Raw genomic sequence first — 12237 nt, forward strand, 5'->3', positions numbered from 1 at the left:
CATGTACAATTAGAGTAAATTTGGAAGTCATTCTTCTTTAGCTATATTCTTGGATAGGTCCTAATCCCAGCATAGAGAGTGGCCCATTAATAACTAAACACTGAAGGCTCCAAGGCACAGACTTGCAACATTAAAAATAAACAAACCCAGGCATAATGCGTGCCTGCAATTAGCATTCTAATCCTAAAGAAAGATAATTTAAGGATTATCAACTTGACCCTGCTGGTAACTAATATTTTTCAGAGAAATTTTCTTCTAGGCTAAGTCTTTATAACTGACCATTTAAAGCAAGAAAACCCTGAGAGTATATAAATAATTAGAGATAGCCCTGGCCCATAAAATCTTATGCAAGAGATATTATCCCACAAAGAGCTGTACCTTTGATCAGAGAGGCTGATGTTAATGATCATTATCTGCGTAAGAGCACTGGAGCATCCCAGGTGTTTTCCTCCTCTCCTGTAGAAAATAAGGGATCCAGGAAGAGCCTCTCACCCCTACCCACCAGCCAAAGAGACTAATGCAAATATAAATCTCGTAATTGTAAGTATAAACCTTGAGTCTGCAGAACACTTTATCTGTGAACCTGTTGTGTCTACAAAGTGGGTGGGGCTTCTAAATTTTGATGTGGTTAAACCCATGTTGTACCAGATTCAGTATTTCCTGCAATGCTAGCTGGAAATAACAGCAACCAATTCCAGTTATTTAACCTAAAGATTAAAATTATTACAAGAGTTCAGAATTGTTTAAAGGCAAGCATGCTGTTGTGGATCAGGTAAAAACTGGAACCACAAATTGAAAGCCTTCTGGAACTTGAAGTGTGCTGTCTCCATCTTTCTTTTTTTGTTTTCTCTGTATGTCATGAAAGAGCCTAAGTAGCTCCCCCACATTCACTCAGCTAGTTTGTAATAGAGCTGAAAGTGAAATCCAAACCTTTTGACTTTAGTGTTGAGCAACTGCTACTTTCCTTTACTCTCCACCTTGAGGGCAACTATATAAAATCAGCTATGCAAATCTAACTCCTTCCATGTTTTACTAAATGGTAAATTGCTCTAAATAAATAGGTACTAAATGAGGTTGATGAGTAGCTGCACAAAAACTCACTAATTCCATTTTCCCTCCTGTCTGCTTGTTTTACAACATGATATGTTGTAGTAGGTAGAGTCCTAGACGATGAAGCCATATAGTCCCAGCTCTGCACCTCACTAGGCAGACCCTCAGCAAGTCATTTAAACTCTCCAAGTCAGAACATTGTGCTAACAGAAATAAGCCAGGCACAGAAAAACAAATACCCCATGATCTCATTTATATGTGGAATCTAAAAACGTTAATCTGGGGTGAGTGTGTGGGATGGGATAGGGAGAAGAGGATAGTTGGGGAGGGAGGGATCACTACTAATGGTTATGGTGTTTCTTTTTCCTGTGATGAAAATATTCTCAAATTGATTGTGGTGATGCTTGCACAGCTCTGTGAACATAAGAAGAATCATTGATTATACATTTTAGATGGATGAATTTTGTGATACATGAATTATGTCTCAATAAAGCTGTTTTTACAAAGAATAAAATAATACTAATAAACTCTCCAAGTCTTGGCTTTCTCATCTTTAAAAAAAAAGATAGTAATTGTATGTTCCCCACGGGAGATACAATTTATGAATGAACAATTTACAAGTGCTTATGAATGCTGTGAGAGTTAAATGAGATAGCATACATCCATAGTGCACCAGTCCATGGTAAACCTTTGCAGGGTAGTAGCTATCAGTATCTCTAGTCTCATGTTAGTCCTCTAAACAACTCTGCCATCCCATCTCCAGTTCAAAACACATACACTATGGCTTCGAGGATTCTCAAAGCAGGGATCTTTATATTGATAAAAACAATCTTTTAGTGTTTTTGTGGAGGAGGTGAGGTAAACGACAAATTGACATTCATTTTGCCTTAAACCAAGTGTCAAAGTCTGGCTTCCCAAAGAGAATGGCCAGTATTTTGGGCGCAGCTGTCAAATCTTCCCAATTTACACAGATGCAACAGAACCTGTGAATTAACCTGTGGCATTTACCAAAGCCAACCCCTGCCAAAAACAAATCTCTCTCCTCCTGGCATACTGAATAAGAGATAGGGATGCATTAAACATTTACGAAGACACTTCAAGAGAGTCTCAGGTAACAGGAAGTGTTCTGAGATTGATTTGCCATGCTTTGAGTGCACAGAAGACAGAGGGAGACACACAGGGAATGTTCCTGAGACTTTTTCTTTTCAATCATCCTCCTCTGTGACTTTTACCCTATAATTTATTTTTAAAGAGGCATCATAGTTTTCTGGGTGCCATAACAAAATCTAAAATAAATGTTTTCACCTAGATAAGCACTATTAAAAGGAAAGGATACTGAATTCATTTGAATACATTTACAGAAGATTGATTTTCCCAAGGGAATGTACCTATCCTATTTCTTTAATTATTCTTGAAGTTTTGCCTATCAACTGACAATTTCTTACAGAAAGGAAGCAAAACAGCCTGGCTTTCGTGACAGCGAAGAATTATAATACTAGAATAAAAACAGGTTTGTCACTTTCCTTATCTCTTCTAATGTCTGAGTTACTGGGAGTCAGAAATATAATAACCCCATCCCAGTAACACAGTTATTCAGAATATGTTAAATCGAAAGGTAAATTCAAAGTCAAATTTCTCTATTTTTTGAAGATCAGTATACTCATTCCTAACTACAAGCATCCAGTATGATTAGTTATAAAACATTAGAGAAAATATGGTCATATTCACTTTATTTTTTCAACTGATTATCACCTGATTAGAAAGAAGACCATTTTGTTTCACATGATTTACTCTCAGCAAAAAAACTGTTTACTTAAGCATAGGAAAGCCAACCTTCGTACTAAAAGAGAACTGAGAAATTTAAACAGCCCATGATCTTCATTGCTTTGGCCTCTGCTGCAAAGCGTCACTGTGAAAAATTGGTCCTGATCCCAGCAATCAATGCTTTCCCACTGCACAGAGATGGCCTGGCGTCATTGTGCCATTGTGGCTGCTAAGGGCAGGGTTCCTTAGCAATGCATAATGGCCAGAACAAGTCCTCCCCAACCCTGCACTAAGGGCAGGCCCCCAGTCCCAAATCATTTCCCCATCTTATTCCAGTTTCTCTTCGGGAGCTGTGGTTTCTTTCTGTGGTTGAACGTGGTTCAGCTTTTCCTGAACCCTGTCCTCCCCCAAAAATAATTATCTGTTGGAGAGTGGTGGTGGTTGGACAACATTGTGAATGTAAAATACCACTGAATTGTGCATTTAAATGGGAAATTTTATGCTATGTGTATTTTACTACAGAAATTATCTCTAATGTGTATTCCCAGGCAGCCGAGAGGTCGTCTTCTCAGAGGACCCTGAGCTGCCTTTTTCAGCAGGTCCACCACCTCTGTATCTTTGCATGCTAACAAAGACTTTTTCTTTTTTTTTTTGAGATGGAGTCTTGCTCTATTGCCCAGGCTGAAGGGCAGTGGCGCGATCTCGGCTCACTGCAACCTCTGCCTCCCAGGTTCAGGCAACTCTCCTGCCTCAGCCTCCTGAGTAGCTGAGATTACAGGCACTTGCCAACACACCCAGCTAATTTTTGTATTTTTAGTAGAGACAGGGTTTTGACATGTTGACCAGGCTGGTCTCAAACTCCTGACCTCAGGTAATCCACCCACCTCAGCCTCCCAAGTGCCGGGATTACAGGCATGAGCCACCGCAGCTGGCCAACAAAGACTTCCTGTGCTAATCACAGATATACCAAATGAAATTGTCCCTTTCTGCCCTTTCCCTTCTCCATCAAGGGATGAAATATAATTTTCCTCTCCTTGAATCTATGTAGACTTATGACACACTTGACACCAATCAAATGTAGCAGATATGATGCTGGACAACTTCTGAGGCTCAATGATTACAAGCAATTAATTCATCCTCTTTCTCACTTGCTTGAACTCCCACACTGGATCTCTGAACTGCAATTGCAGCAGTTCAACTGCCCTGCAGCCACCATGCTGCAAGAAAGCCCAGACTAAAGCACACAAGGAAACCAATGGAGAAACACTAAGACTACATGAAGAGCCACGGAGAGGTGCAGCCCTCTGTTCCAGCTTCCGTCGCCGTCTGACTGCAACTTATAAAACCCACAGCTAGAACTACATAGTCAAATCCTTCCCCAATTCCAGACTGGCTGAAACCATGAGGTAACAAAATAATTGTTATCATTTTGATCATAAATTGTTATGCAGATATAGATAACCGGAACTGAAAGTGGAGTGCCATAATATACATCAAAAATACACGACTTTGGGTTTGGGATCAGGCAAAAGCTGGAAGAAACCTGTGAACTATTAACAAAAGCCTAAAGGGCCTGGAGAAAAACTTAGCAGAATTTTAAAAGGTCTCAAGGAGGCTGTCAGTCAAAACCTGGAGGAAAGTGAGAAGATGATATCAGAAGGTTAAGGAAAAGAGATCCTTTCATGCGGTGAGAGAAACCTAAGCAGAGCTGTCATCTGAGGTAACATGGAAAATAGAAAATGTATCTAACGAACTGGATGATCTATCTAAGGAGATTTCCAGGCAATGTTGAGATGGCTGCCTAGTTTCTTCCAGCCACCTATAATAAAATGAAAAGAAAGACATGAACTAAAAAACAAATTATTCAGTTTGAATTGAATTTGAAGAATTTGCAAAGATCCCAAAAGTAGTCTTTTCAGCTCGCAAAATTTTCCAAAATAAGAATGTGTCTCAGGCCAAAAATCAAATCCAAAATGTGACTATGAGATTATCAGAAAGAGTTAAAGCGGACCCTCAAAACACTTTTCAGACAGACAAAAAGGATCCAAAGGGCCTTAAGGGCATGCCTCATGGATCTTTTCAATTAAACAAAAGGGTTTTTAAGAATCATAAAAGCATTGCCCCTCAGCAGTCTCACAGGTAAATCCAAAATAGAAAAGGGTGTATCCGAAAGAGATATGTGGGTATGGCTTTTGGCAAATGAGATAAATCGTAAATTAATGCACAGAAAACCTACACAATTTTAAGAATTGTATTAGAGAAAATTCAAAATTAAAAGAGGCCATTGGATTCTGAAACTTCTAAAGGCAGAAAGCAGGAAGAGAAAACTAATCAACAGCAAACACAAGAGACTTTAATTAGAAGAGGAAAGATGACTCCAAAGATAGAAACAGGAGCCTAGGTAGAGGACCAAGCCACATAAAGAAGAACTCACAGGAAGTAGAAATAAAATCTAATCAAAGAACTGTAATTGTGTGTCTGGCTAGATTCCAGAATTGCCACAGATCAGTGACAGCTGTGTGCCTCCCTTTTGCCCCCTCTTTGAGTGGGAGTGTCCACTGCAGCTCTTGTACACCGGTTCCACCACTGTACATTGGGTCTACGTGGGGAAGAGAAGACCTCTCTTTGGCTCATAGGTTTTCAGGCAGAGAGCAGTATTTAAGGGACCAAATCCAAACACATGACAATCTTTAATTGCCAGTGAACCTGATTTAAATGAAGAGATCCTGACCTTTGAGCCGAAGCATGATGCTGTAATGGGATGAGAATTTTGGTAGGTCTTGGGAGGGAGGATGAGTGTATTTTGCATGTAGGAGAGATGTAAATAGAGGTCAGAGGTCGCTCTGTGGCAGACTATACTTTTCAAAGATGACCGCAAGGATATATTTCATTCCATTTGCTCTTATACAGTACTACCACCTTCCATCAAGAGGAGAGGTCTGATTTGTCTTTTTGTGAATCTAGGTGGGCTTGTAACTCTAACTCACAAACTCACTTAAAACCAATAGAATGATGTAGAAATGACATCGAGTGACTTCTGAGTGTAGGTGATACAAGGTTTTCCTCTTCAATCCTGTTCATTGAAAGCCTAAACTGTTCTATGAAGCAGGTTGACTATACTAAGGTTGCCATACTGGGAGGAAGTCCAAACTAGCCCACACAGAGAGATCACATGGAGAATTCCTAAGTCCTTATGGAAAGAGAGAGAGAGAGAGCTAGTTAGTCTCAACTGCTTTAGCTCCAGCCACCATTTGACTGCATGCAACCACATGAAAGACCCTGAGCCAGGACATCCCCTTCAAGCCCTTCATGAATTTCTGTCCCACAGAAACAATGTGAGATAATAAAGTAGTAGGTGAAAGACACACTTTTGGGTAGCAACAGATACCTGACTACCCAGCCTTCCTTATCTCAACAGCATTACCAACCAAGTTTTCTTTTTACTCCATATGCAAAGCATTAGAAACTACAGCCCATTCAACTTCTAAAATATAAACTGAAGCCTAATACTTCTCATTTTCTCTCCTACTTCCTTAGTCCACATAACTATGATCTTTTCTCTGGCAAACTCCTATCTATTCTCCCAGCTTCCATACTTGCCTCCATAAAATCTATTCTTCATACAGCCCACAGAGTAATCATTTAGAATGGAAGTTATGTCACTTATCTTCCTGCTTAAAACCTTCCAAGTTTTTGCCTTGCAGTTGAAATAAAATCTTAATTCTTTTTCATGGTCTAAAGGTGTTACATGATCTGGCTGTGAGTCACACTGTAACCCCATCTCATGTGGCTCTCTTTCTTGTTCACGCTTATCTAGCTTTACTCAACTAGCTTGTGTTTTTTGAACAAACCAAGTGCTTTCCTAGCTTGGGGGTTTTCATTCATTTTCCCTTTGGAATGGAAATATCTTCATGTAGATCCTCCTGCTGTTGACTTCTCTTTATCATTCGTACCAAATTCAAAGGGTATCTTCTTAAAAAGACTTTCTCTGACCACTCTTTAATGCCATCTGCTCATATCTCACATCCACCTCAGTCACTGTTTCATTACTGCATTTTATTTTCTTCATAGTATGCATGACAATTTGAAATTATTAATTTGTTCACTTCATTTTTGGTCTCCTCCTAAATTAGATTATATGTGTCATGAAAGAATATTTACTCTTCTACCTACCATTTAGAATATTGCCTAACATATAGCTGAGACACATTATTTGTTAAGTGAAGGAAGGAGTGAATGTTATTCCCATGACCTCCACTCTTTTAGAGTAACTGTAGCAGACACTGCTAATTGGCTGCCCTAAACCTATTAACAAAATCTTACTTCCTGCCTATTTCTCAATGATTGCTCTGCAGGTAGCCATGTGACCCAACTCTAGACAATGTGAGGTAAGTGGATAATACTGCATGGCAATTCTTAGAAAACTTTTTTAAAGATAAAATTTCTTTGACAAAAACTTCTAGTTTTTCACTCCTTCTTGTTCTTGACAAGAATAAGTAATGTAAGACCAGGAAATGGAACAACCATCCTGCAGTCATAAATACAAACCCATATGCTAAGGATGGCAAAAACGAATAATGGTATAAAACAACTGTCACTGAAGGGGGAAAATGTACTGACCTAAATAACTTTGGAAATGAGTGGATTGTGTAAGACTAAAAGCAAAAGGAACTGCATATAAGCACTATACTCTTGAAGGTAAAGTTGTTTCTCATAGAGGTGTTGCTTAACAAATCTGTTATTGTTACACATGTATACTGGTATTGAACAATTAAGTAAATAGATGGCAGATGGTAGGAACCAGGTTTCTCAATGTTGGAGTAGGAAGCTAGAGATAAGCAAGGGGAGGAAAGTATAATGATTCATTTGGTAATATCTTTATGGACTCATGTTTAGCTTAATATATGCAGATACACACAAAAATATTTATAAATGTGTGTGTGCATATGGGATGCTATATATGCATATATTATTTTTTGCCCTGACATCTGAAAAGGCCTACAAACAAGAACACCCCAGTAGCAATGAGCACATCTAGGCTTCAGATCTTGGTTACTAACACCATTCTCCAAAAGAACAAGGGTTCTTTGGAGAAATGGTTGCTTTTAGGACTAGGATAAGAAATGTACAAGAAGCCTGGAGTATTCTGTAATGCCAGAAAGGAAATATTTGAAAAAACAAACAAAACAAAGCACACACAAACATTGATGAAGTATGTCAATAATACATAGGACCCAACTGAAAGAGTCTCACTGGCGAAATCTGGAAAAATTTGGAGCAAAAACTTAATAACATAGTATTAGATTATAACCCTATGTACAAAATATTCATGAGTCCGGGGGCAGTTCCAAGATGGCCGAATAGGAACAGCTCCAGTCTATACAGCTCCCAGCATGAGGAACACAGAAGACGGGTGATTTCTGCATTTCCAACTGAGGTACCGGGTTCATCTCACTGGGGCTTATCAGACAGTGGGTGCAGGACAGTGGGTGCAGTGCACTGAGCATGAGCTGAAGCAGGGCAAGGCATTACTTCACTCAGGAAGCACAAGGGGTCAGGGAATTCCCTTTCCTAGCCAAGCAAAGCTGTGACAGACAGCACCTGGAAAATTGGGTCACTCCCACCCTAATACTGCGCTTTTCCAATGGTCTTAGCAAACAGCACACCAGGAGATTATATCCCGCGCATGGCTCAGAGGGTCCCACGCCCACAGAGCCTCGCTCATTGCTAGCACAGCAGTCTGAGGTCAAACTGCAAGGTGGCAACGAGGCTGGGGAAGGGGCGCCCGCCATTGCTGAGGCTTGAGTAGGTAAACAAAGTGGCCAGGAAGCTTGAACTGGGTGGACCCCACCACAGCTCAAGGAGGCGTGCTGCCTCAGTAGACTCCACCTCTGTGGGCAGGACATAGCCAAACAAAAGGCAGAAGAAACCTCTGCAGACTTAAACGTCCCTGTCAGACAGCTTTGAAGTGAGTACTGGTTCTCCCTTCATGGAGTTTGAGATCTGAGAACGGACAGACTGCCTTCTCAAGTGGGTTCCTGACCCCTGAGTAGCCTAACTGGGAGGCACCCCCTAGTAGGGGCAGACTGACAACTCACATGGCTGGGTACCCCTCTCAGACGAAACTTCCAGAGGAATGATCAGGCAGCAACATTGCTGTTCAGCAATATTCACTGTTCTGCGGCCTCCGCTGCTGATACCCAGGCAAACAGGGTCTGGAGTGGACCTCCAGCAAACTCCAACAGACCTGCAGCTGAGGGTCCTGACTGTTAGAAGGAAAACTAACAAACCAAAAGGACATCCACACCAAAACCCCATCTGTACGTCACGATCATCAAAGACCAAAGGTAGATAAAAACACAAAGATGGGGAAAAAACAGAGCAGAAAAACTGAAAATTCTAAAAATCAGAGTGCCTCTCCTCCTCCAAAGGAACACAGCTCCTCACCAGCAATGGAGCAAAGCTGGACGGAGAATGACTCTGATGAGTTGAGAGAAGAAGGCTTCAGACAATCAAACTTCTCTGAGCTAAAGGGGGAAGTTCGAACCCATCGCAAAGAAGTTAAAAAACCTTGAAAAAAGGTTAGACAAATGGCTAACTAGAATAACCAATGTAGAGAAGTCCTTAAATGACCTGAAGGAGCCGAAAACAATGGCACAAGAACTACATGATGAATGCACAAGCTTCAGTAGTCAATTTGATCCACTGGAAGAAAGGGTATCAGTGATTGAAGATCAAATGAATGAAATGAAGTGAGAAGAGAAGTTTAGAGAAAAAAGAATAAAAAGAAATGAACAAAGCCTCCAAGAAATATGGGACTACGTGAAAAGACCAAATCTATGTCGATTGGTGTACCTGAAAGTGACAGGAAGAATGGAACCAAGTTGGAAAACACTCTGCAGGATATTATCAAGGAGAACTTCCCCAACATAGCTAGGCAGGCCAACATTCAAATTCAGGAAACACAGAAAATGCCACAAAGATATTCCTCGAGAAGAGCCACTCTAAGACACATAACTGTCAGATTCACCAAAGTTGAAATGAAGGAAAAAATGTTAAGGGCAGCCAGAGAGAAAGGTTGCGTTACCCACAAAGGAAAGCCCATCAGACAAATAGCGGATCTCTTGGCAGAAACTCTACAAGCCAGAAGAGAGTGGGGGCCAATATTCAACATTCTTAAAGAAAAGAATTTTCAACACAGAATTTCATATCCAGCCAAACTAAGCTTCATAAGTGAAGGAGAAATAAAATCCTTTACAGATAAGCAAATGCTGAGAGATTTTGTCACCACCAGGCCTGCCCTAAAAGAGTTCCTGAAGGAAGCACTAAACATGGAAAGTGGAAAGGAAGAAATTGTACCAGCCACTGCAAAAACATGCCAAGTTGTAAGGACCATTGATGCTAGGAAGAAACTGCATCAACTAATGAGCAAAATAACCAGCTAACATCATAATGACAGGATCAAATTCACACATAACAATATTAACCTTAAAAGTAAATGGACTAAATGCTCCAATTAAAAGAAACAGACTGGCAAATTGGATAAAGAGTCAAGACCCATCAGTGTGCTGTATTCAGGAAACCCATCTCATGTGCAGAGACACACATAGGCTCAAAATAAAGGGATGGAGGAAGATCTACCAAGCAAATGGAAAACAAAAAAAGGCAGGCATTGCAATCCTAGTCTCTGATAAAACAGACTTTAAGCCAACAAAGATCAAAAGAGACAAAGAAGGCCATCACATAATGGTAAAGGGATCAATTCAACAAGAAGAGCTAACTATCCTAAATATATATACACCAAATACAGGAGCACTCAGATTTATAAAGCAAGTCCTTAGAGACCTACAAAGAGACTTAGACTCCCACATAATAATAATAGGAGACTTTTACACCCCACTGTCAATATTACACAGATCAACGAGACAGAAAGTTAATAAGGATATCCAGGAATGGAACTCAGCTCTGCACCAAGCAGACCTAATAGGCATCTACAGAACTCTCCACCCCAAATCAACAGAATATACATTCTTCTCAGCACCACACCGCACTTATTCCAAAATGGCCACATATTCGGAAGTAAAGCACTCCTCAGCAAATGTAAAAGAACAGAAATTATAACAAACTGTCTCTCAGACCACAGTGCAATCAAACTAGAACTCAGGAATAAGAAACTCACTCATAACCACTCAACTACATGGAAACTGAACAACCTGCTCCTGCATTCAGTAGTCATTCTACTGGGTACATAACGAAATGAAGGCAGAAAGAAAGATGTTCTTTGAAACCAATGAGAACAAAGACACAACATACCAGAATCTCTGGGACACAGCTAAAGCAGTGTGTAGAGGGAAATTTATAGCACTAAATGCCCACAGGAGAAAGCAGGAAAGATCTAAAATTGACACCCTAACATCACAATTAAAAGAACTAGAGAAGCAAGAGCAAACACATTCAAAAGCTAGCAGAAGGCAAGAAATAACTAAGATCAGAGCAGAACTGAAGGAGATAGAGACACAAAGAACCCTTCAAAAAAATCAATGAATCCAGGAGCTGGTTTTTTGAAAAGATCAACAAAATTGATAGACTGCTAGCAAGACTAATAAAGAAGAAAAGAGAGAAGAATCAAATAGATGCAATAAAAAATGATAAAGGGGATACCACCACCGATCCCAAGGAAATACAAACTACTATCAGAGAATACTATAAACACCTCTATGCAAATAAACTAGAAAGTCTAGAAGAAATGGATAAACTCCTGGACACATACACCCTCCCAAGACTAAACCAGAAAGAAGTTGAATCTCTGAATAGACCAATAACAGGCTCTGAAACTGAGGCAATAATTAACAGCCTACTAACCAGAAAAAGTCCAAATTCTACCAGAGGTACAAGGAGGAGCTGGTACCATTCCTTCTGAAACTATTCCAATCAATAGAAAAAGAAGGAATCCTCCCTAACTCATTTTATGAGGCCAGCATCATCCTGATACCAAAGCCTGGCAGAGACACAACAAAGAAAGAGAATTTTAGACCAATATCCCTGATGAACATTGATGCAAAAATCCTCAATAAGATACTGGCAAACCGAATCCAGCAGCACATCAAAAAGCTTATCCACCATGATCAAGTGGGCTTCATCCCTGGGATGCAAGGCTGGTTCAATATACACAAATCAATAAATGTAATCCAGCGAATAAACAGAACCAAAGACAAAAACCACATGATTATCTCAATAGACGCAGAAAAGGCCTTTGACAAAATTCAACAGCCCTTCATGCTAAAAACTCTCAATAAATTAGGTATTGATGGGACGTATCTCAAAATAATAAGAGCTATTTATGACAAACCCACAGCCAATATCATACTGAATGGGCAAAAACTGGAAGCATTCCCTTTGAAAACTGGCACAAGACAGGGATGC

The 12237-nt window shown here is 40.1% G+C and overlaps 1 protein-coding gene across 6 annotated transcripts in view; it reads right to left on the reverse strand.

The window, feature by feature from the left end:
- The window catches only part of THEMIS (thymocyte selection associated), a 221968-nt gene extending 221422 nt beyond the window's left edge, over nt 1-546 (reverse strand). For all 6 annotated transcript variants that reach the window (XM_047418766.1, NM_001164687.2, NM_001394520.1 and 3 more), the window contains exon 1: nt 379-546. The gene's annotated coding sequence lies outside the window, so the exon portion shown is untranslated. The remainder of the gene's footprint in view (nt 1-378) is intronic.

The sequence above is a fragment of the Homo sapiens genome, chromosome 6 (genome assembly GCF_000001405.40).
Source record: "Homo sapiens chromosome 6, GRCh38.p14 Primary Assembly".
In the NCBI taxonomy this organism is placed as follows: domain Eukaryota; kingdom Metazoa; phylum Chordata; class Mammalia; order Primates; family Hominidae; genus Homo; species Homo sapiens.